At 43.8% G+C, this 26,079-nt stretch overlaps 1 protein-coding gene across 1 annotated transcript in view, besides 1 other annotated feature; it reads left to right on the top strand.

Moving 5' to 3' along the window:
• The window catches only part of TMEM163 (transmembrane protein 163), a 263,242-nt gene that overhangs the window by 160,571 nt on the left and 76,592 nt on the right, over positions 1 to 26,079 (top strand). The window contains exons 3-4 of the mRNA NM_030923.5: positions 6,339 to 6,382; positions 7,769 to 7,860. Coding sequence (NP_112185.1) covers positions 6,339 to 6,382; positions 7,769 to 7,860 — 136 coding nt within the window. The remainder of the gene's footprint in view (positions 1 to 6,338; positions 6,383 to 7,768; positions 7,861 to 26,079) is intronic.
• Positions 21,927 to 22,427: an enhancer, noted in NCBI's record as "H3K4me1 hESC enhancer chr2:135293574-135294074 (GRCh37/hg19 assembly coordinates)". NCBI's record gives its function as "activates a minimal SCP1, AML or CMV promoter by ChIP-STARR-seq in primed H9 embryonic stem cells {active_cell/tissue: H9 hESC(primed)}" and the evidence as "EXISTENCE:reporter gene assay evidence [ECO:0000049][PMID:30033119]".

Here is a 26,079-nt window from a genome sequence, read left to right as displayed (position 1 = left end):
GACTTGTATAAATATTTATTTTAGACTTCTGTTGTGTGTGTGCTTCTGGGAGAGTAGCTGTTATTACCCCTTTGACACGTAAATGAAAGTAGTGTGTGTGACACGCAGCATCCTGGGAGGCAGGAGGTCCCTCAGACTGCAAGTGACATTCTGCTCGTGCTCCACTTGCTGGCTTTCTTGGTCCACCACTGTACTTCCATGAACTTTTTGGGCCATTAACAAACCACTGATGTAGGTGATTTGACCTAGAAAGATGGATTCAGAAACTTAGATGTAATAAAGACACATATAGTCATATGCCGCCCTGTTAGAGCATTTGTGAACTCACAGTGCAGCCTAGTCCCAGATATGTATCACAGATCTGGTTTCTCTTGACTCCATTTTAGACCTTTGTTGATATTTTTGTGAGTTGGATATCTTTTTCCCCACATAGATTTCTTTTTCTGGTTTAAATGATATGGTGGTTGTAGAAAATGTAGAAAATAAATCTCAGGACCCCCAAATCCCTAATCTAAAGGGAAAAGTCAAGCTGGGGACAGTCTGGCAAACCTGCCTCACATTTTATTCCTAAATAAGATAGCTACAAAGATTGAGAAGCTACATACCTCCCTCACAATTTGCCCACAAAGAAATTCTTTGTGCACAAAAGACAGACTTTGAGTCCTCTCTCTGTTCACCTGAGACAGATGTATATCCAATTGCTTCCTCTGCCCTGTTGTTTCACCAAGCTGGGCAAAGGTGTAAGTGACTGTTCCTCTACCCTCCGCTCACACAGAAATTGTGTATTCTGTGAAAGGCTAATCAAAGACTTTAAAAAATACAACCATTTGTCTGTTACCTACCTGTGACCTGGAAGCCCCCTCCCCACCTTGAGTTGTCCTGCTTTCCGAACAGAACGAATATATATCTTACACATATTGATAGATGCCTCATGTCTCCCTAAAATGTATAAAACCAAGCTGTGCCTGGACCACTTTGGGCACATGCGGTCAGGACCTCCTGAGGCTGTGTCATGGGCATGTCTTTAACATTGGTAAAATACACTTTCTAAATTGATTGATCTCTGTCTCAGATACTTTTGGGTTCACAGTAGAAAGGAAAGAAACCCACTCAAATATTCCCACCCTTCAAAGATTAACCACTGTTAGCATTTGAGGGAATTTTTTTCTGGTTGTTTTCAATGCAGCCTGTAAAGCTAGTTGTAGCACATGCTTCATCTTGTGTCTTGCCCGAATTATCTCTCGTAACTCTCCTCCTGCTTCCTTTGGCTTTAGCCAGAATGGCCTCAGACATGCCAAGTGTTCCACCTCAGAGCGTTTTACTGACTCTTCTTCTCTGGAAGGTCCTTCCCCAGGTAACAGCATGGTTTACTCCCCCATCTCCTTAAGTCTTTGCTTAAATGTCCCCTTCTCAATGAAGCCTCTTCTGATCTTCCCATTCAGTTTGCACCTGTGCTGGCTAGAACTCCCCCTGTTCCAGACCCATCCTTTCCTGTGGCACCCAATGCAGAACCCAACATACAACCTATCTGTTTATTATCAATGCCATTGTTCTTTCTAATATGCTAATAGAAACATTAAACAGTATTAATTTTTCTAAAAAATATTTTGAGACAGGATCTCCCTCTGTTGCCTAGGCTGGCTTACGGTGGTGTGATCTTGGCTCATTGCAACCTCTACCTCCTGGGCTCAAGCAATCCTCCCACCTCAGCCTCCTGAGTAGCTGGGGCTACAGGTGTCTGCTACCACGCTCAGCTAATTTTAAAATTTTTTTGTAGAGATGAGGTCTCACTATATTGCCCAGTCTGGTCTCAAACTCCTGGCCTCAAGCGATGCTCCTGCCTTGGCCTCCCTAAGTGCTGGGATTATAGGTGTGAGCCACCACTGCAAGCCAGCAACAGTACTCTTTGCAAAGGCTTTAAAATATCTACCTATAGCCTATTCTTTGAATAAATCATACCTCAATCATCACCCTACTATGGAATATTTAGTTACCTCTAATGTTTTGCTGTTATAAATCACATGAACCTATTATGAACCTTTTGTACTTAAAGTGTTTTTCCATTTCTTACGCATTAAAATCTTGGGCATGGGATTACTGGGTCAACATACCTTGTATTAAGACTCATGTGGCTGGAAGTGATAGAAACTCAACTCACACTGGCTTAAGCAAATCAAAGGAAATTATTGGCTAATGTATTTGAGGAGTAGAGGGATAGATCAGGCAGGACTGATTTAAGAGGTTCAGTCTGTCTTCGGGAGTCTGATCTGTGTTTAATATCTACTTTCTTCTTGTGTTGGCTTCATTCTCAGGCAGTCTCCTCCCACTTATGTTCAAATCACTACCTGTAGCTCCTGTATTCAGCCTCCTATCTCTAAAATCCCCTCTAAGAAAGACATCCCCGTTCCAATATTTTCAGCAAAAAACTTGGCACAGGTTCTCATTGGCTCAAATTGAATTGTGCCATTTTTGAATCATTAACTCTGGACATGGGACAAGTTAATGGGATATACTAGCATGGGAATAGTGTCATCCCACCCAAATCACATAGTCTTGAGGGTAGGGCAGGTGCCATTCCCAGAGGAGAATCAGGATGCTCTTATGGGATGGGGACTGCATGCTGGGCTGGCCCCAAATGACACATCTTCATTTTACCTATGAACATTTTAGGGACTCTGTGTCTTAAAATAAATTAATAATAAAAGCCAGCAGAGAAAGAGATAGGAGCTCAGCTGCATCCTAAGCATGCATTTTTTTGGATGTGTAACTGCTGCCTAATCAGATAGCAATGTGTTTCTACTCTGACCACATGGGGCCAAGAGCAGCCTTCATAGGAGAGCTCCGCCCCACGGCTGCCTGGTCGCCCGTCTCTTTGTGGATGTGTTGCCAGTTTGCAACATAATTGTCCGAGTTCAGAACGGCCCTTGTTTCTTGTCCACTGTTTAATAAGCAGCTGTCTTGAAGGCATTGAGGCCTTTGTTGGCCCTGTGGTGGCTTTCCACTACACTCAGCCACATGTGCATGGAGCTCCAGGTGCCTCTACCATGTAATCTCTCCCTTATAATCATCCTGGCTCAGGCCTGCTGTTCTCCAAGCCAACCTCATTCTTAGCATGAGGGAAGTTGGAAACGTCCTGGTGAAAACCCCATGGAAGTTGGGGGGTGGGGTGCTGTGTAAACCATTCTGACCCTTCCATTGAGTTTGTTCTTTTCTCAAAATTGGGATGTGTCATGGTGAGTTATGAGACAAATAAAATGAAGTTACTACTTGACACTCTTCAGAAATTCCTGAAAGGCCATCTGAACTCTTTCATTCAGATCCTGTGCTAATGACTATTTGCTGTTATTTAGTAGCAAGAGTTGGGGAGTTGGCCACAAAAGGAAGCTGTCAGAGCTAAGGCTGTGTGGAGGGCCCTTCAGAGTAGTCTCAATTCCCCATGCAATTTTTGGCATTTCTCCCTTTCCATCTCATCAAGGAAATTAGACGGAGCCAATTTATAAGTAAATGATACATCTCTGTGAAGGACTCTGGGTTAACTTGGAGCCATCTCGCTCATATTTTCCTTGGTGCAGGTGGGATAGAGAATACTAATATTCCACTTGTGCTCTAGGTCATCCATTCTCTGGGAAGGTTTTATTCTCACAAGCGGATCGTTCCTGCATAATTTTGAGGGTATTGGAAATCATGGACACAACACTCCAATTGAGTCGGGGACACCCCACCCACCATTTAGTGGCCATCTCCTTTGTTTGAGTCCAGATTCCTGAGACAAGGTTCCTTGTCTTTCTCAATATAATCAAGTGAATGTCTACTTGAAATCTGTTTTGAAGCCATGGTTCACTGCTGGTGAGGCAGGTGCTCTTCTGCCATAGCGAGTCGGGGGAAGTGATTTTTCTAGCTGTGCCTTTTCCATGGTGCTCAGCCCTAGGAGCACAGGTGGAGACAGACTGGGAGCCCGGTGGCAGCATTTCTCTCTCTCTCTTTTTTTTTTTTTTTTTTTTTTTTTTGAGATGGGGTCTCGCTCTGTCACCAAGCTGGGGCAGTGGCGTGATCTCGGTTCACCGCAACCTCTGCCTCCCGGGTTCAAGTGATTCTCCTGCCTCAGCCTGCCGAGCAGCTGGGACTACAGGCACACGCCACCACGCCCGGCTTATTCTTTTTGCATTTTTAGTAGAGATGGGGTTTCTTCATGTTGGCCAGGATGGTCTCGATCTCTTGACCTCGTGATCCCCCCACCTTGGCCTCCCAAAGTGCTGAGATTACAGGTGTGAGCCACCATGCCTGGCTCTTCTTTTATCTGTTGTAGATCTGGAGCATCTGTGCAAGATGTTAGTTGGAATTAAAAGGTTTCCACTGCTGATAAAGAAGAAACCCACAAAAAGCACACAGCTAAGATATTCTAAAAACAGGTTGTAAAGGGAAAGAAAAGATATCCTCCTTGACTTATTTCTGTGAAATTTTGTTACGCTTAGTTAACAGTTATGGAGCACGTGCTGTGAGTCAAGCTGTGTTTTATAGGCCGCCTCGGTGCTTGCAGCAGTCCCGCCAGGGATCAGCTGCTTTTTTTGCACACGTCAGCATGGCTGGCATGGCTGGTGAGTTGATGTTCTCCAGGAAGGGCCAGTGCCCCTTTACAGCACCATACCTGTGTGTCCCATGAAAGCTCCAGCTGGTCACCATGCACAGCTGGCTCTGCCCTTCTCCCTGTGCCAGTAAGAGCAACAGCAGGGACTCCTGGAGCAGCTCATGTCAAAAACAACGGTGGTTAGGGATTTAATGGGTTGTATTCCACCTCACACAGTTTGAGGACCTGAATATGGCTGAGTTTCAGGAAGGGTCTGGAAACGCTCGGACACCAGTGGTTCACTCTCCCCAGCGCTGTGGCTTTCCCATGCTTGCCTTCCTGCTCCTCAGTCTTTATGGCAAACGGTGGCCGATGGCAACTCCAGCATTTACAAGTTGCTGTTCTAACCACATAGATTGACCAACTAGACTCTCTCTGTCTCAAGTCCTAAGTCACAGAAAATGAACTCTGTTTGGTTCACAGTGGATCAGGTGCCCTCCTTGTAACTGGAGGGCACAAGGCACAACACAGTTGTGTGGGGACTGTCCCTGGACCTTGTGGAGAGGACAAGGAGCAGGTCCTAGAGAAGGGATATTGTGATGAGCTGATGGAAGTCCATGTAGGCACTGGCCTCTGTGCCTCCCACCCACGCTTCTACTGCGCCACTGACCACTTGCAGAACGTAGGCCTGGGAACAAGCCACTGCCAGCTTTGCTGACTCTTAGTGTAGGGCTTTAGTCATGGTTGGAGGTGCATGTATGCTTGTTAAATATGGCTTTCTTCTGGAGATCTGCCTTTGTTATGTCAAATTGAGAAGTCTTTGAAGCTGTCATTGCTTTAGCACAAAACAGAATTAGGAAAAAGTGCTACCCAATTGACGTCCTCCAATTTAAAAATATGGATCAAGGCCGGGTGTGGTGGCTCACACCTGTAATCCCAGCACTTTGGGAGGCTGAGGCAGGTGGGTCACCTGAGATCAGGAGTTCGAAACTAGCCTGGCCAACATGGAAAAACCCTGTCTCTGCTAAAAATAAAAATTAGCTGGGTGTGGTGGCAGGTGCCTGTAGTCCCAACTACTTGGGAGGCTGAGGCAGGAGAATCACTTGAACCCGGGAGGCAGAGGTTGCAGTGAGCCGAGACAGCACCATTGCACTCCAGCCTGAGTGACACAGCAAGACTCTGTCTCAAAAAAAAAAAAAAAAAAAAAAAGGATCAAAATATGTCGTAATTAGAATTGTGGCATTGACATTTGTAGACATCTCTATTTGTAGACATCTGTTGTTTAAGATCATTTGTCACTCTTTTCTAAACAACTGTTACTGGTGTCTACATTGGATTTTAAACTCTGGTGCCCACAGATTTTTTTCATCTATCTTAGCAATGGTGTATGCCTTACTTAGCCACACCACCTTATTATGGGAACAGTTTGGGTGGTTGGAGTTTTACTTTGAAAGTTTGATATAGTTCCCAGTTGCTAAATTCTCAAAGTATCAGAAGTCATTTGATTGACAGCTGTTGAAGCAATTTTATTTGGAAATTGGCCCTCAGGTGCTTCAGAACACTGTGAGGGGAAGTTGTTGCAGGTGGAGTCTGGGAATCTTTTCAGTTCACTCTTCATTTTTAAAAATTCTTAGATTTTACAAGTACAGTTAATTTTTGGTTTTGTTCTCTTGGAACTTCCCCACTGATGTTTAAAAGGCCATGTAATGTATTAATATACTCAAAAATGAGAGAGGTTTTAAAATATTCTGAATAATATTTTCTTTCTTTTTAGCTGTCTCCGTTATGAGGTACAGCGCCTCTGCTTTTGGGTTTGCAGTAAGTAACCTGAAATGTACTTTCATCAAGTTTTGCACGTTTTTTCATAAGCCCATAAACCTCACCCTGAGCCCTCAAATGAGGGTGGTTAGTGTATGAGAGCTTAGCATGAGAAACATATTTTATGGAAACCCACTTCTATTAAAAAATGAAAATTTAACAGAATTAAGCGGCAATGAGGACTGTGTAATTCTCATGCACAGATTGGGGGGAACCACATTTCCCACAACGTGGTTGGGTGAGAGGATGTTTTGGGCATTTTAGCCCTTTTTTACCTTCCAGGTTGTATGTGGACCTGGCACGCACTGAAGCAAAGCATTTTCTGGTGTAGGCAGATGTGCTGCGAGTGAAGATCGGGGCTACTTGCGCTAGGATGAGTCAGTCTGTAGCCAGCTAGGGGTAACCTGGCTTCCCAGCTGGCCTCCTGATGGAAGCTAGTTGGAGAAAGTGGGTCTCTGCTTCACAGGCTAGGTCTGTTTAGAAATTGGGTGAAGTTTCCCCAGGCCCCTTGGAGAGGATGCTAGTGCTTGTGATTTTCCAGCTGAGAAGTGTGGTGTGGTGTAGTGACCCATAAAGAGAGCTCTTCTCAACCCCCGCCGCGTAGCTTTAGGGTTTCCTGTACCCAAGGGTCGGTATGCCTGTTCCCAGACCCACTTCTGCCCTTTGTTGTGAGAACTTGATATTGTAGGGACATTGCAGATTCTTTTCAGAATCTTATGAAAGATGTGGACCATCCAGGAAAAAGGCACACCACCACACACACACACACCCAGACATACCACATATACACACGTACACACACACATGCATACACACACACCCAGAAACACACAAACACACACCTACATTTTTCTCTGTCATTCTCTCTAGCTTGCTTGTGCATTCATGCTCTCTCATTCAAACAAAAGCATTGAATTTTATATGCAACTTTAAAGTGCTGGCAGACTTATTGCAGGTCCTGGTGACCCCCACCCCCAGCCCTGGACCCCAGATAGAATAGTCCCGTTGAGAGTCAAAAATAGAATTCTCACCCGAATCTCTTATCTGGGATGTGCAGGAAACTACTGCAATTATCTTGACTATCATGGGGAAACCAATTCCATGTGTTTCAGAACAGTGAACTCCCCCACCTTCCGCTCTATATCTCCAGAGTGCTGGGAGCCAGGGGCCCTGGGAGCAGAGCCCCCTACATGGCACACTGGGTGTCTGAGCTCCAGACGCCCCAGGCATGAGGGCAGTAAGTGGCTGCGTCGTAATGATGGGAGACCTCTTTGCTCAGAGTTTACTCATGCAGATGTTCTGAGTCACAGCACAGTTGTCCTGTGTCTTCACATTTGTGTGCTATTAACTGTGGAAAGCCTCTAATGCCATGTCTCCTTCTCCTAGTTTGATGCCATCCTGGACGTCCTGTCATCGGCGATTGTCCTGTGGCGTTACAGCAACGCGGCCGCTGTGCACTCTGCCCATAGGGAGTACATGTAAGTAGATTCTTGTCTTTCTCCAGGCTGAAGAACCCGTGCAGATGAAGGCCACGGAATGAGGCCCTCAACACAGCTTGCCCTGCAGCTTTTGTCCCAGTGATGAGAAGAAGGTCCCCAGGTTGCTTCTGAGAGTGACTAGTGCAATGCCAGCCATGTGGTAGGGTCCTCTTGGGATGGTCAGAGAGAGAGGATGTACCTTTATAATTTTCTCTGTTCTCAGATTTTGAGAATATGTGTTTGCTGGTCTATCCATCCGCTCATCCATCCATCCTGTTGCTTTTTCTTATCGGAATCTTTGTTCTCTTGGATTTTTATGCTGTTTTTCTTCTAAGTAAGATGAATTCTCCACTGTCATTTACAGAAGACATCTTAAGGGCATTCTAAATTATTCTATTTGCCTTCTGCCCCTCTCTGTATTAGGGGATGTTGCTTGCCCCGGTCTTCATATCCCATGGGTGAAGATTTTGACTTTGAAGGACTTAACGTTTGTGACTCTAAAACATATGTCTTTTCCAACTTCCATCTCTTTATATCATTTGTAAACCCCAGGGTAATAAGGACACAGGTTCCGTAATCAGATTTGTATCTCTGTGATTATGGAAGCCAGTAACTGCTCTGTGCCTCATTCCCTCGTCTGGAAAAGCAAGAAAAAGACAATTCCTCTTTCGTAGGATGATTGCAATGAGTACACACACACACACACACAAACACACACACATTTTTATGCATATACCTATACGCTAATATGTGTATGTATATGTGTGTGCATGCAGTTATATGTATATATGTGCATGTATACGTGTATGTGTGGGTATCAGGGCAACAGTTTTCTCTGTCTCTGCAGCTTTTGGACAGTTGAACACAAATGAGTAAATGCCCCTTTCTGTGGTTTGTAGTGGTATCCAGATGGAAAGTACTCTTGAGGCTGGGTGTGGTGGCTCACACCTGTAATTCCAGCACTTTGGGAGGCTGAGGCAGGTGGATCACTTGAGGCCAGGAGTTCAAGACCAGCCTGGCCAACATGGTGAAACCCCATCTCTACAAAAACAAAAATTAGCTGCGTGTGGTGCTGTGTGCCTGTAGCTCACCTACTCGGGAGGCTGAGGTGGGATAATTGCTTGAACCCAGGAGGTGGAGGCTGTAGTGAGCCGAGATTGTGCCACTGCAGTGCAGCCTGGGCAACAGAGCGAGACTTTGTCTCAAACAAGAAAGTACTCTTGAATGGGATGTTAGGCCATATTCCAACATACAAGTGTTGCAATACCTCTTTGAGGCCAAGTGATTCAGACAGTAACATATCTGAGATTGAATATGCCAGATGGAAAACTTTTAAAAGATGACACCATAACTGACTCACTAATGAGAGCAAATTTTAGTTCATGTCATTATTAGCTTTAGTGTACAAAAACTTACTTTAAATGTTAAATGTCTATTTTAATGGGCATTAGTTTTTTTTTTTTTTTAACAAATTAAGAATCAAACTTGTGATGTTACAGATGATATCATTTATGATAAAGTTAATTTTTAAAAGTGAATTTGTGGTTGAAAAAAACTAGAAAATAGTAGTAAACTGACTTTTAAAAATTTCAAATGATGGTTGAGCATCTCTACTCTGAAAATCCAAAATTTGAAATACTCCCAAATTCAAAGCTTTTTAAGCACCAACCTGATGTCACAAGTAGAAAATTCCTCACCTGACCTCATGTGACTGGTCACAGTCAAAACTTTGTTTCATGCACAAAATTACTTAAAATATTGTATAAGATTACCTTCAGGCTATGTGTACAAGGTGTATACGAAACATAAACGAATTTCATGTTTAGATTTGGGTTCCATCCCCAATATATCTCATTATGTATATGCAGCCATCCCAAAATCCAAAAAAAATCTGAAACCTGAAACCCTTCTGGTCCTAAGCATTTTGGATAAAGGATACTTAACCTGCCCTGTGATGATCAACCTTGACTTAATGCTGGTCTAGCCAAAGGAGCAACTAATGCACCCAACCCAAGCTGTTCTGGGTATTTGAGGAATTCAATAAGAAGCCTAGAGAGTATAATGTAGAGATATACTCGGATTTCAGGAGCTAGCCACTGTCGTGTCAGAAGAACATGTCATCTTTGGTTCTATAGCTGCACTGTCCAATATGGTTGCCACTAATGCAATATTTTAGCACTTGATATGTGGCTTGTCTGAACTGAGATGTGTTGTAAGTATAAAATACACACTAAATCCTAAAGACTTAATGAGAAAAAGTATTTATTAATAGTTAAAAAAATGTTCATTACATGTTGATATTAGAATATTTTTGATATATTGGTTAAACTTAAATTTTTTTTTTGCTTTAGCTTTTAAAAATGTCTTTTAGAAATTTAAAATTACATATGTGGCTTATATTATATTTGTATTGGCCAGTGCCCTCAAAGGAGAAAGTTTTTCCCTCTGCTTTTTCTTTCTTATTTTAGAGCTAATAATACATAATTTGATTTTCAGTTCCAGAAGGAATTGAATTCAGGGTTTTCCAATTTCATTATTCTAATTTGCTTTTTAATCTGATTTCCTTTCTGCTGAAATGAGTTTCGTACATGTTAGTCAGAAAGCCACGAATAATTGTGGCTTTTCTATAGCGTTGGGATCTGTGTGAACATTTGTTAGGTCTGGAGGTTTTCCAAGATCAAAATTGATGATGAGAAATGTCTTTGGTTTCACTGTTTTTAATAATCCCCCAAACAGGTTACTGTTTTTTAAAAGTATATATCATTGTCGAAAAGGCAAAAACTCACAGAGGAGTTGCTTTGATTAATTCCCAGGTAATTGTTCACGTGACAATGCCAATGCCAATGAATTCACTTGGAGATTCCTAACCTAGGGATTTAAGTGATACTCACAATCCTCTATATTGTTGGCTTTGGTTTAAAGTTTTAATCCCTGGCTTTACCCCATGTAAGTTTAAAATTAATGAAATCACTGCCAGCTGAGAAGCTGATATTTGCCTATTAATGAGCATAAATGAGTTATGAGGGGCACAGCTAGAAAAGCCATTGGTTTTCAGTTAGTTGCTGGAGAGTAATATTAGAGGAAATTGGAAAATATGCAACTGGCCCTTAGCTAATTCCCTTTATTTTTTTGAACTGGACCCAAAACCTTGGGATGAATCTTGAGCTTGAATTAGTCATGCAAAGCAACTGGAAACCTTCCTTAGCCTTGCCACCTGGTGACTGTGTATCCCTACTGTGGATATGATGGGGTATTTCATACTCAGGGAAAGAGAGTTTGGTTTCAGCACCACCAGAGCGTACCTAGCCCTGATAGTTTTTGTTTTGCATTTTAAAGATTTTTATTGTGAATTTTTATTTTTATTTTATTTTGTTAAAACGCATAACATAAAATGCATTAGCCTAAGTGTTTTTAAGTATACGGTTCAGTAGTGTTAAGCGTATCTCATGTTGTTGTGAAACAGACCTCCAGAACTTTTTTCATTCTGCAAAATTGAAATGCTACCCATTGAACAACTCCCCATTTTCCCCTGTCCCCTAGTCCCTAGCAATCACCATTGTACTTTCTGTTTCTATGAATTTGACTGCTTTAGATACTTCATATAAATGAAATTATACAGTATTTGTCTTTTTTGTGACTGGTTTATTTCAGTTAGCATAATGTCCTCAAGGATCCTCCATTTTTTTGTAGCATGTGACACAATTTTCTTCCTTTTAAAGGCTGAATAATCTTTTTTATTTATTTTATTTATTTTTTTGAGATGGAGCCTTGCTCTGTTGCCCAGGCTGGAGTGCGGTGGCATGATCTTGGCTCACTGCAACCTCAGCCTCCCAGGTTCAGGCAATTCTCCTACCTCAGCCTCCCAAGTAGCTGGGACTACAGGCATGCACCACCACACCTGGCTAATTTTTTTTTTTTTTTTTTTTGAGATGGAGCCTGGCTCTGTCACCCAGGCTGGAGTGCAGTGGCACAATCTTGGCTCACTGCAAGCTCCGCCTCCCGGGTTCATGCCATTCTCCTGCCTCAGCCTCCTGAGTAGCTGGGACTACAGGCGTCCGCCATGGGGCCCGGCTAATTTTTTTGTATTTTTAGTAGAGATGGAGTTTTGCCATGTTGGCCAGGCTGGTCTTGAACTCCTGGCCTCAGGGATCTGCCTGCCTTGACCTCTCAAAGTGCTGGTATTACAGGTGTGAGGCACCATGCCCTGCCTAAAGGCTGAATAATATTCTATTGTAAATATATGCCACATTTTGTTTATCCATTCATCCATCGATGGACATTTGGCTATTGTGAATAATGCTGCTATGAACATGAGTGTGCAAATATCTCTTTGAGACCCTGCTTCCAATTCTTTAGGATAAATGCCCAGAAGTGGGATTGCTGGATCCTATGGCAGTTCTCTTTTAAAATTTTTGAGGAACCTCTATACTGTTTTATATAGTTGTTACATCATTTTATAATTCTACCAACTAGTTTTTTTAAGTTCCAAATTTGGTTACTTTCCTGTGGTAGGAAATAAAGGTATGGAGAAGGTGGACCATCAGGTTTACTCATGGCCAGGATTTTCAACAGGTAATATAGAAGGAGGGGCAAGGGAAAGTTATGTTTACAAGCAAGGGGTTCTAAGAAGAGAGAATAAAGTAGCCAAGGAGAGGTGGAAGGATAATGGCAAAGCTAATGAATAATCACCATGGATTAGCAGTCTTGATTAGAAGATGAGAAGCCTTGATAGGTCAGTAATTGTTGGCGTGGGGTACTAATCTGAGAGTAGGCTGCTAAAAACCAAGATTCCATAGGCGTTTCATTTATTGGCACAGATTTAGGGTAGAGTGAGTGGCTGAGGCAGGGTGGGGACAAAAGGTCAGGGACATGGGTGAGGCCAGGTGTTGGCAGTATGATCCATTTGAGATTTAAGTTACCAGGAATGTGTGTAGAATTTGGGGAGGAGGTGAAGGCCATGAAGCAGGTCATCATCAGTGAGTCGTCAGTGAGTGCAGGGAAGGGGCCAGGAGGTGAGGGGGCAGTGCCAGGAGGGAGGTGTGGTGGGTGCTTTAGTCTGATGGCAACTGGCAGTGTTGAGGGAGGAAGCTGGGGGCAGCCACCAGGAAGAAAGAGGCTTGGAGAATGTGGGATCAGAGAGGAAAAGCAGCCTCTACTGCAAAGGCAGGGAAAGCAGCTTCCTCAGAGAACAGCTACATTTTTATTAGGGCAAGAAAGGTAAAAGGAAGAGTCAGAAAAAGAGTTTGAGGATGTGGAGACTGGGAGGGTAGGATGAGAGTGTTTGGGAGAGAAGGGAGCCAGCCTCACAGTGGGTGACAGAGGAGCCTGGGGGTGCGGGTGGGGTTGGTGACACTGGTCTGGTGACAGTGGATTGCTATGCAGCCACTCTAAAGAATGAAGCACTATCTGTTTACTTAACGTCGTGACCTCCAAGCTGCATTAAGTGAAGAGAGCATGACACAAAATAGCATGTGTGGTTTTTTCTCATTTGTTTTAACAAAAGAGGTTTGCATCCACACACACTTGTGTAGGCATATAAAGGATACAAAGGAGACTGGCAGCAGGGTCGCCTCCCCTCCAGGAGGGGGCTGGGGACAGAGGAAGGAGGGGACACATTTTATGACAACCAGAGCTGTCCAACAGATGCTCAGCGGCGATGGCTGTGTTCTGTATCTGTGCTGTGCGATATGGTAGTCACTAGCCCCATGTGGTCATTGGGTACTTGGTATATGGATAGAGTCACTGAGGAACTGGATATTTATTTATTTATTTATTGAGACAGAGTCTCACTCTGTGGCCCAGGCTGGAGTGCAGTGGGATGATCTCAGCTCACTGCAACCTCTGCCTCCCCGGTTCAAGCAATTCTCCTGCCTCAGCCTCCCGAGCAGCTGGGATTACAGGCATGTGCCACTACACCCGGCTAATTTTTTGTATTTTTAGTAGAGACGGGGTTTCACCATGTTGGCCAGGCTGGTCTCAAACTCTTGACCCCAGGTGATCTGCCCACCTTGGCCTTCCAAAGTGTTGGGATTACAGGCACGAGCCACCACTGTGCCCAGCCAGAACTGGATTTTTAACTTGATTTAAAGAATTTAAATAGGCCCATGCAGCTAGTGGCTACTGTATTGGACAATGTCTCTTCAGTTGGGTCATTTTTAACTTGTTTTCAAAAAACAGATGAAAGTTCTTTAAAAATGAAGGTTGAGGAGATTTGGAAACGAGAAGAGTGGATACTGAGGAAAGGAAGGAGGTGCTGGAGATGGAGGGCGTGGGGAGAAATAAGTGTAGGAGGAACTTGGCAGGGCCGAATGACATGGAATTTCGTGTCTGTCCTGCCATTCTCTGCCCTGTGTACTGTGTAAGGCCCCAGGAAGAACAGCCTCCTGCCACCATCAGCTGCGAGGGCCATGGGATGCTTGCCACAGAAGGTCCAGCTTGACACTCACTGGGGGGTCTCTGACATTTTGCATATGATTGCAGTACAGGTGGGGCTGTGTGGAGGGTCCCCAGGCCCAGCTGTCTCCTGGGCTGTCAGTCAGCTTGCTGAGATGGAAGTGAAGGCAGGTGGGAGATGTTGTTCACCTGGACAGCCTTCTAATTCTACAACACAGCGTCACAATGCAGCCCGAGAGGTGGTTCTCCTGTTCCAATGTACCTCCCAATGGTGTTCTGCTCAGCAGCACATTGGGATGGGAATTGGAGGGCCCCACAGTGGATGTCCTGAGAGAGGCATAAGTCCTTTGTGTGTCTTCCCATGTGAAATAGACAGGCCCACCGGTTCTCACCCAGGCTGCTTGCTGTGCGTTCTTTTCCAATTTGCTGAGCCAAATGCATCGGCCTGAAAACCACCAGTCAACAGGATAGCTTGATAGCCTTTTGATGACTGACTCCACCAGCACCCTTGCTGCTTTTGGAAACAACTCCAGAAATTTAAAAAGAAAATTGAGTCAAGAAGTGATGGATAGGTAATTTGCTTTTGGTGCCTGAGCTGGACTGTGAAGGCAATGAGTTATACCAAGAACATATTAAAACAGTATCATGTCTCTCCCCGCTTCTTCCCGTAGGGTGTTTGATCTGGCCCTAAATCAGAGGCTCTGAGAAAGTGAATCCTATTTATTCCACACTTGTCTAGTGCTCTTAACTTGACAAAGCTCTTGAATGTGTTTTAACTCAAGAGCAGAACCTGAACTAGAAGAATAAATAACTTCAGAGATGCCCTCGATGGCTGATGAGAGTTAAGGCAGAAGGTGGAGCCATTTCAGCAGGATGGGAGCTCCTCTGCTTTGAGTAGTGTGAATTTAGACTCACCTGGAGGCAGAAGGGAGTGGCCCTCCACTGTCCTGACCAGGACAGATGAAACCAGGCACAACACAGACATGACACTACTGGGTTATGGTGCTGCAGGTAAGATGCACTAGAGGAAGGAGTGTAGGCTTGGTTCCTGTTATGGGCTAAATTGTGTCCCCGTAAAAGATATGTTGAAGTCCTTGTCCCCCAGTACGGAAGAATGTGACCTTATTTGGAAACAGGGTCTTTGCAGATGTAAACAAGTGAAGATCAGGTTATGTTTGATTAGGGTGGGACCTAATCCGATATTACTAGTGTCCTTATAAGAAGAGAAAGCAGAGACACAATCAGACATGGGGAGTAGACTCCCACGGGACAAGGAGGCAGAGATTGTAGTAATGCATCTACAGGCCAAAGAATGCCAAAGATTGCAGCAAAGACCAGAGGCTAGAAGAGGGAGCTTCCCTGTAAGTTTAATAGGGAGGGTGGCCCTGCAGACACCTTGATTTCGGACTTGTAGCCTCCAGAACTGTGGGACGATACATTTCTGTTGCTTAAGCCAGTGGTCCCCAACCCTTTTGGCACCAGCGACTGATTTCATGGAAGAAAATTTTTCCGCGGACTGGGGTTGGGTGGGGGATGGTTTGGGGATGATTCAAGCACATTACATTTATTGTACACTTTTAGGGTTTGTGCTCCTATGAGAATCTAATGCCATTGCCGATCTGACAGGAGGTGGAGCCCAGGCGGTAATGCGAGTGACGGGGCGTGGCTATAAATACAGATAAAGCAGGTGACAGTCTGTGGCCTGGGGATTGCGGACCCCTGGTTTAAGCCACTTGGTTTGTAGTGCTGTATTGTGGCAGCCGTACGAAGCTAATGTGGTCCTGAGAAGAGTCCTCCATCAGAGCTCCACTCTGCTGCTTACCTGCTCTGTGACTCCACGTGATTTATTCATCTTTCAGAACCCCAGTTTTCTCATCCATGAAAGGGAGGGAGGGTCACGACAGCTGCCAAGTGGCGTAATGGTGAAGATTAAACATGGCATTGAATAACTTACTTTCTATCCCTAAAATTTTGAAAATTGTTTTATTTGTCATCCTGGAAGAGTTTGAAATTGTCTACCTTCGCGTTTTGTTTTGCTTTTCAAGAACATGGAATAAAAGAATTTGTAATAAAATTGTAAGAAAACCCAGACATACACTTCAGCATATTTAGAAAGTTGCTTTTGACTTAGCAACAAGGGATAGTCATGTAGTGAGGGGATAAAAAGATTGTTTCTTGATGCCTCAATTTCATTCCCACCCCCGCCCATGGTCTGCAGTAAGAAAGGCGTGGGGCAAGGCAAAGTAATATATGTTTATTGTAAACAGTTGAGGTAATTCATAAAGGTGCAGAGAATACAGTGAAACTCACTTGTTATGGGGACTTCCAGGGATAACCGGAACTAACATTTTGATGTATGCTCCGTGTGTGTGTATGTGTGTGTGTGTGTGTGTGTGTGTGTGTGCACGTGTGTACACACACGTATATCCATTTAGCTTTTTTAAAACAGAGATGATCTACGTATAGTTTTTTTGAAAACTGTTTTTTCTGTATTTAACACCATAGTTTGAACATCTTTCCATGGATAAATAGAGGTTTGTTATTTTTTGATAGCTGTGCGGTATTCTATGTATGGGTTTAGCCTATTTTAGCAATTTTATGCTGAAGACATGGGTTATTTCCAATGCCTTAAGGTTAGAAAAAATCCAGAATAACTGTCCTTAAACATTTGTATTTTAATGCCTGTCTTGTTATTTCTTTAGGATAAATTACTAGAAGTCTGGGTCAAAGAAAATGCTTACATAATTTTGACGACCAGTGTCGAGCCGTGCTCCAAAAAGGTCATACTAATTTACCACTAGCAGGGGATGAAAATGTTTATTCTCCTTTGCCAGCACTAAGAGTTATAATTCTTTTTATCAGCAATGCTAATTCTCCATGTTAACATGCATTTCTTTAGTTAGCAGCCTAGCTGAACATATTCTCATATGCTTTGGGAGCATTTGCATTTCTTTTGGGAAATGGGTTGCCAGGATTTCAGATGGGAATGAAAAGCCTTTTATTTCCATCTTGGGACAGTTCCCAGACTGTGGAACCTAGGCAACTAAGGAAGCACAACTTAGTAATTGACCAGGTAGTTCCTGCTTTGCCTTCACCACTCATATTCTTTTTCTGCAATGCCATGGGTGTTTTTTGTTTAAAGATTTAATTACCTGCATTTAATTAATGTACTGGTCTATTGACTTGTCCATCTCCCTCACAAGCCTTTAAGCTCACCGAGGCAACAGTATTCCTTAACTGTCTTCTTTTTATCCCGAACCCCTAGACTCATGCTTGGCATGTAGTAGGTGCTCATAAAGAATTGCAGAAGGAAAGACTTAACTATGGAATTTCTTCATTTTATGTAAGGTTTGGATGACCCTTATTAAGATGATAGTAATAACCATGTACTGAGCACCTGATTTGTGTCATGTATTATGCTGGACTCTGTTAAGTAGAGGTATTATTTAACACCTGGTGGAGAAGGTAAAGTTTGTTCCTGAAGGCTCCTGGTTAGTGATGGATAGAACTGGAGTTTAAACAGGGGCCTTGCTTGCTCTGAAATTTGCTCATAACCACTATGCAATGCTATCTCTCCAAATGGTCATTTGCATGATTCAGTTTCACCAGTGTGACATTCCACCTTCCCTCTCCTTCCTCCTGGAAATGCATCTTCCTAGCAATTAGCTACAACCCAAAATTAACTAGAGGGAGAGAGAAAGTGGTTAGGGATCCACAAAAATGGAGAACTATAAAATTCTCCAACTTGAAATGCAGTCCTGGGCTTTGGTTCTAACTGCAAGGTGGGGAAATGGCTGGCTGTTGGCCAGACACAGATAAACTGCCTGGGCCACTGCAGGGCAGTCTAGGGGCCAGGTTGGTGTTCCCAGGAGCTAGTGTTCATTTCCTGGGTCCCCAGGCAGATGGCAGCCATGACAAGTAACTGGGCCGCAGCCCTGTGGCTTTGCCATCAAGGAGTCGTAACTGGCCTTTGTCTGCAGCTGTAGCCCGTCCTCTGGCACCTGCTGCCAGGAAGCATTTGCCAAAAGGAGAGTGTTCTATCCCTGGAGTGCCAGGGCCTAGCGCTATGGATGGGGCCCCTGTTTCACCCTGAGGATGGTTACCCTTGGACACTTGCACCTGGAAGTCATGGTGTTTGGCATCCTTCCATCTTCTGCTCCCTGCTGCCCTCGGTCAGCTGCTGCCTGTGCATGGAGGTGAGCGGGCTGAGTTCAGGAGCCCTCCTTGATGGTGAGATTTCAGGAAGACAGGCACGAGGGTGAGAGCCTTCTCCCTTTGTGGCCACCTTGGTCAGTGGGGATTTGGGCAAGCTCCTTCCCTTCTCAGATGTCCTGTGTTCAGAAGAAATCTCTGCGGGCTTGTTTTCCCCACAGCTGTCTTTGAAGTTTTAGGCTCAGAGCATGGCATGTTTTTTCTCATTTCTGTCTCCGGATTTTGTCCAGTGTGTTTGCTACTGGACATTGAAAATTCTATTTGATTTTGCATAGGTCCTGCCATTGACTACAAATCAATACCAAAGTGTTGATGTTAGGTTATGGCTCATGCTGACTTTCTCCTTAGACTTTTTAAATTTTCTGGAAAAATATTTTATAAGATACATATACAGTTTTTGTAATCATATCAAGCATACTTTTTCCCTTTAGTGGGGTACAGGGGGAAGCAAGCCAGTGTGAGAACAAAGACTAAAGCTCTCATTTCCTCTATGCTGGCATTGCTTTCCTGTGATCAGCCCACTGGGTGCTATTGTGCATACACCGTCAGCACCGCTGGGTGCGTTTACCTCCCTTATGAAGGACCCCACCACAGTGCATGTCGCCTTCCTCGGGTGTCCATGAAATTGCATCGAATGGAATTCTGGTGACTTTTTTTCTCCCCATCTCTTGCCTTTCTCTAAGTAGTTGCACCCTTTGAGCTTTCAGTCAGTGTGGGTTTTACCAGCATCTTTCTGTAGCATGATTCAGCTTGTTCCTATCACTAAATAGGAGGCATTTAAATAAATCCTTGAGTGGCTTATCATCGTTCCTACCCACTTTGTAAGATCGTTATAAGAAACACATGAGATAATAACATTGCTTGGTACAGTGTTTGACCTAAAGTAGGTACTCAATACATGGGGGTTATTTTTAGCAGGCTTTCCAGGCAAAACAGAGATAGGTGGTTTTTATAAAGTAGCTTTATTAAAATATAATCACATAGCATACTGTCACCCCATTAAAGAGTACGGTTCAATGGCTTTTAGTATAGTCAGTTGTGCCTCCATCACCACAGTCTATTTCAGAACATTTTCATTACCACAAAAAGTCCCAATCCCTGTAGCCTTCACCACCCAGCCCCTCCCAGGTCTCCTTCCCCATGCCCAGCCCCACGCAGCCACTGTCTATTTCCTGTCCTTAGAGATTTGCCTGTGTTGGACATTTCATACACATGGAATCAGGTACTCTTGGTCCTTTGTGGCCTAGCATATCTTTTCTTTCTTTCCTTAGTCACTCAGCATAGTGTCGTCAGCTTCACCCTCACTGTGGCGTGTGGTGTGGCAGTACTCCATTTCTATTGTGGCATCATGTTCCATTGTATGGATATGCCACAGTTAAGTGATCCATTCATCGGTTGATGGGCATTTGTGTTGTTTCCGCCTTGAGGCTATTATCAAGGATGCTGCTATGTCCCTCCATGTGCTAGTGTTTGTGGGGAAATATGTTCTCCTTTTTATTTCTTGGGTATAGAGCTAGGAGTGGAATTGCTATGTGTCATTGTTTGGGCTGCTGTAATGAAATATCATAGACTGGGTGGCTTATAAACAACAGACGTTTATATCTCACAGTACTGGAGCCTGGGAAGTCTGAGATGAAGACGGATTCAGTGTCTGGAGAGGGCCTGGTTCATAGGTGGCATTTTCCTGAGGTGTCCTCATATGGCCCAAGAGGCAAGGCAGCTCTCGGGCCTCTTTTATGAGGACACTAATCCCATTCATGAGGGCTCTGGCCCCGTGACCTAGTCACCTCCCAAAGGTCCCAGCTCCTAACACCATAGCCCTGGAGGTAATGGTTTTAACATATAAATTTTGGAAACATGTAGCCCCTGGCACTGGATTATATGGTAACTCAATGCTTAACATTTGAGGAATTGCCGAAACGTTTTCCAAAGTGGCAATGTCATTTTACATTCCCACCAGCAGAGTACGAAGGCTCCAACTTCTCATCCTTGCCAACTCTTGTTATCATCTGTCTTTTTGGTTCCAGCCATTCTAGTGGGTGTGAATGGTATCTCAGTGTGGTTTTGATTTGTACTTGAGTGTTATTAAAGTACTATTGAAGTAGTGGGTCATTGTTCTGGAGGAAACTTCCAGGAGGCCCTGCACCTCACTGACGTTTGTTCTACTGGCCTCTTTACCACTCTGCACAGTCTGGCTTGTGGGCTCATGGATTGAAGCTTGATTTTAATGGCACAAAGTCAGGGGACTCAGATGAATCAAGCTCAAATAACTGACATGCAAACATGGATAGGATAGCAGGTTATTAGTGGATGCAAAGATCTCCTTTAGAAGACCTTGTCTGGGTGTCTATTATGAACTGGGTGTTTATGTCTTCCCTGAAATTCATGTATTGAAGCCCTAATTCCCAGTGTGATGGTTTTAGGAGGTATGTGTGCTTTGGGAAGTAACTAGGGTTAGATGAGGTTATGAGGTTGGGGCCCCCATGATGGGATTAGTGCCATGATGAGAAGAGGGAGAGAGGCCAGCACTTGCTCCCCCTGCCTTGTAAGGACACAGTCTGTGAGCCAGGAGGAGGGCCCTCACCAGAATCTGACCGTGCTGGCACCCTGATCTCAGAACTTCAGCCTCCAGAACTGTGAGAAAGTCACTGTTGCTTAAGCTGCCCAGTCAGTCTGTGGTATTTTGCTGTAGCAGCCTGAGCTCTGACAGTGTCCATGTGGTTTCTTCCCTTTTTCTCCCGCAGGTAGACCCACATAGGGATCCTGGGCCTTGGGATAAGCAGGAATTAGGTGAATACAATATTTAGGGCCATCAGCCTCTGATTGCCTGATCTGTCAGTCTGGGTATTAGAGATGTGGTTTGGGTCTAAGTGAGACTACCTTTGAGACCAGAACAGTGGCCAAGGTTCTTTCCCTGTGGGCAACATATTTTGAAGTGATCTGCCCTATTTTCCCTTATAACTATCTTTTTTGTGTTTTCCTAGCAGACCAACCCCCTTCCTGATTAATAAGTCTTTTCTTTGGCTATGTTGATACTGTGATCATCTGCTGATAATTGAGGCTTTCTTTACTTTTTTAATTGCACATTTTCTAAGTGCCTGTAGGCCCTAGACCTAGAGCTATGGCTCTTACAGCCTGTCAGGGAACCGTGACCCAGGAGTCAAGGGGTTTTTGTATAGTTCCTTTTCTAATCTGACAGGTTTTTGACCTAAAAGTTTAACTCTGAAGATAGTTTTATTACTGACTTTCTTAGTATGCTTCGGGCACTGTACTAAGTATATTCTGTATTCTGTCTCATTTAATCCTTAGAACAATCCTATGAGATAGAGGTTTCGCTCTTCCAGTTTTATAGGTGGCAGATGGAGGTTTAGAGGCTCTCAGTGGTGGACAGAAGCCCAGAGCCATAGAGCTGGGATCCTGCTGGTGGGGTGAGGATTCATGCCCTGTGCCGCTAGCCTCCAGAGCCCGGGGCTGCCTTCACTTCAAGGCAGCAGCACACGTCCTGCTCAGGTGGGAGGCCCCAGGGAGTCTTCGCGTGCTATGTACTCAGGAGGAAAAAGGAGGAAGAGAACAGCTGTAAACAGCCCCAACCTCAGTCACTGCCACCGGGGTGTCTCACAGATTTCCAGCAAGCTGGACGGGGAGCCCAGAAGGGGTTTTTGGGCAGAGTCTCCTTTCGTTTTCCCTGCAGCCCAGAAGGAAGTTGTTTTCCCAATCTGAGAGGCAAAAAAAATGGTGTTTTAGGTTTGTTTTTGCTATACATAATGTAGTACCCTTTGCTTCCATTTCCTTATCTGTTAGGTTAAGGTTGAAACTTCTTATCTTACCTGCCTTAAGAAAAGGATTAAAAGACATTGCTGTGAGACTTGAAAAGTGCACGTATATACGCGTGCGCCCTCCGTCTAAATATATATACACACACAATGTAAAACATACAAACAAGGCTGGGCGCGGTGGCTCATGCCTATAATCCCAGCACTTTGGGAGGCTGAGGCGGGCAGATCACTGGAGGTCAAGAGTTCGAGATCAGCCTGGCCAACATGGCGAAACCCTGTCTCTACTAAAAATACAAAAATAAGCCAGGCGTCGTGGTGCACATCTGTAGTCCCAGCTACTCAGGCAACTGAGGCAAGATAATTGCTTGAACTGGGAGGTGGGGATTGCAGTGAGCCTAGATCGTGCCATTGCATTCCAACCTGGGCAACAGAGACTCGGCCTCAAAAAAAACAAACAAACAAAAAAAAAAACCATACAAATAAGTAAATGTATAAAATATTTATACATATAAAAGTAATATACATTAACATGAAATCTACCTTTTAAATTAAGTGTACAATACTGTATTGTTAACTATAGGCAGGTCTCCAGAACTTATTCGTCTCGTATAATTGAAACTTTATGCCCTTTGATCAGTAATTCCCATTTGCTACTCTCCCCTTAGATTCTTAAACACAAACCACTAGAGGGGGAAATCTCTGAAAGGACTTTAGTATTTGGACAGGAAGATTGCTCCAGGCTTACATGGAAGAGTTAATAAAAATCCTCTTTCCATAGCTTTCTTAGGGCGACAGAACAAGCAAATTGCTGTGTCTCTATTTGCTTTTGTGTTTGTTGCTACATGGGTGTTAGCACCCACCAAAATTTGTTCCTTGGCATTTTCAGCCAAGAAAGTGCTTGCTCTGTGTGTGTGTGTGTTTTCAGTGAGAAAAGCAATGTGCACGATGTGTCAGTGGCGTGGAAGTCACCTGTGAACAACCAAGACATGAATCTTGCCTGCTTTTAAAATCCAAGTTCAAATTCTCCTCCTCTTCCAAGGTGACTGAGGCTAAGATTATGGAAAAACCATGTTTCTATAGATGTAATTCTTCCAGAATATGAGGACATGTGTTAGAATCTGAAATTGAGTACTTTTCCAAAATAGTAGTGGTGTGAGGTGTCTGTTGACAAGTCTCTTCTGGGAAAGCAGATGGAAGTTTGGGAAATGAGACATTCAGGCCCCTGTATCTCAGTGCTCCCCTTACCCCGACTTTGAGCAAGGTACTTTGTTAGCTGCATCAAGACCAATCTGGCTCAATATCTCTTCTTCCTCAAGGATTCACTTGGCTGTTTGGGTTGACGACTCAGGACAGGTGGTCACAGAGAGACTCTTTACGGCCTTTTCTAAGTAGAATAAAGATTCATTTTTATTTTATTTTATTTTATTTTATTTTTGAGATGGAGTCTCACTGTGTCGCCCAGGTTAGAGTGCAGAGGTGCGATCTCGGTTCACTGCAACCTCCACTTCCCGGGTTCAAGCGATTCTCCTGCCTCAGCCTCCCAAGCAGCTGGGATTACAGGAGTGCGCCACCCCACCTGGCTAATTTTTTGGTATCTTTAGTAGAGACGGTGTTTCACCATGTTGGTCAGGCTGGTTTCAAACTCCTGACCTCAAGTGATCTGCCTGCCTTGGCCTCCCAAAGTGTTAGGATTACAGGCGTGAGCCACTGCACCTGGCCAAGGTTGATTTATAAATCAATCTTGAGGAACTTCCATGACAGGTTAGTGAATGTAAACTCCATTCTTGTTTGAAATTTCAGGTCAACATCTGCATCTGTGGAATGGTGGGGTGGTGGTTTGGTTTGTGGTTGGATAGCTGTTCTGTTGGTGTAGCCTACATTTTGTTTCCTATGTGAGAAGGTAGCATTTTTTTTAAAAAAGTCCAGTTTTATCAATCAGAGTCCTATCAGCTGCATTTCCTAAAACCTGTTTTATCAGAGTCCTATCAGCTGCATTTCCTAAAACCTGACCCTGATATTTACTCATTTAATGAGTAAAATATTCAGTTCAATTCAGCCCACCCTGAGCTGGCTGCTTTTTGAGGCACCAAACCAGCTCTCTGCTCTCCTGGACCTAAAGAAGGAGATGGGCAGGGAAGTGACTGCAGAGAGTAGGCAGAGCTGTGAAGGAAACAGAGCAGGGTGATGTGACAGCATGTGAGGAGGACCACTGTGAAGTTGGGGGCCAAGGAAGGTCACTGAGTAGGTGACACTTCAACCTTTGGTGAAACTTCAACAAAGGAGACTTGAGAAAAAGCATCCCTGGACAGAGGGATTGCTGCAAACAAAGGGCCTGAGGTGAGACCAGCGTGGTGTGTTTAAAAGTCAGAAAAAGAGGCTCCTGTGGTGGGACCCAATTAGTGAAGGGCAAAGGTGAGATGCAGCTGAGCCTCGGGAGCCTGGGGAGGAAGTTTTGATTATAGGAGCAGTAGGAGGCCACGGGTGCATTATTAAGCCTTGGGGTGATGTGATCTGCTTATATAATTAACCTTGGAGAGCTCAGATGGTTTATTACAAGAGAACCCTGACATTCTTGTGAATATGGAAGGCCCTGTGTTTCTTTAAAAATGAACATATTTTCATTCGTCTCATTGATTTGTAACAGTGGCACATATTTGTAGAACCAATATGTTTCAATTAATATGAATGTTAAAGTGAGTGTTTTCCTGTCCTCCATTCCTCATAAAAGATCATCACAGTGAACAGTTTGGTGCATGTGCTTCCAGAATACTTACTTTGCAAATAAAGTGTGATGCACACCCATATGCTTTACACGTGTGCACGTGCACACACACAAACACACAACTAGGTGTAATGAAAATAGGATCTTTCTGTTCATATTGTTCTGGATCCTGGTGCTTTCTCTTAACATAAAACCAAGGACATTAAAAAACTCCCTATATATGTAACCCATTCTTTTTAATGACCTCATGGAGTTCTTCTGTTGGCTATAGCATAATTTATTTAACAGTCTATTAGGAAATCTGAGTTGTTCCATTTCTTGCTCTTTTATGTTGTGATGACATTTATGGCTGGTGCATGAATCTGTGCACACCTCTTTGTTTATTTCTTTAGGCCCTGTGCTTGAGATGTGGGGTACTTTTTTCTTTAATAAGAAACAACTAAACTGAGTTTAAACGTCCATAGTGTGTCCTAGCCCAACACATATTCTGAATGAGAATGAAGGCTGGTTTGTTGGTAAGGGTGTGCATTATACCACAGACCTGTCACTCCCAAAGTATGGTGGGCTTGCAGTTTGCCACTGATCTGTAATTTTGATTGTTCATGGAGTGGCTGCTGTGATTGGAAACACTGCCAGCCACAAATGCATAGAACAATGAGGAACATATGTGGGGAATGGTAAGCTCACCTATTTGATATGCACATGAAGCCAGCAGTATTCCCCAAGCGGCCTTCACTGTGTGGGCACAGCTGCAGGTCTGTATTAGGTTGCTTTTCCCAATATCATGAGTAACTAAAGCCAGGGACAGGCTTACAAACAATAGACTACAGAAAGCTGGGTCTGCCCTTTGCATAATTAACCTGCAATTCTGCATTTCAAGAAATGTGATTGTTTGAGGCAGTAGCAAGCATGTTCAGGATAAAATACATGTTTCCTTATTATTGGATCCACATTCTGCAAATATCATATCCTATCAAAAGCAAAGGAGCTTAGGGAGGAGGATTTGGCTGATGAAAGGTCTTGGGAGAAAGAAATGATTCCAGAGTAATTTTTCCGCATCTGTTGTTATACCCAATCCCTAAGACAGTTCAAGAAGATAGGCTTTACTGAGATGTT

This window comes from Homo sapiens, chromosome 2 (assembly GCF_000001405.40).
Source record: "Homo sapiens chromosome 2, GRCh38.p14 Primary Assembly".
NCBI classification, from domain to species: Eukaryota; Metazoa; Chordata; class Mammalia; order Primates; family Hominidae; genus Homo; species Homo sapiens.
Note: the sequence above shows the minus strand (reverse complement) of the source record. Positions and strands in the feature narration are given on the sequence as shown.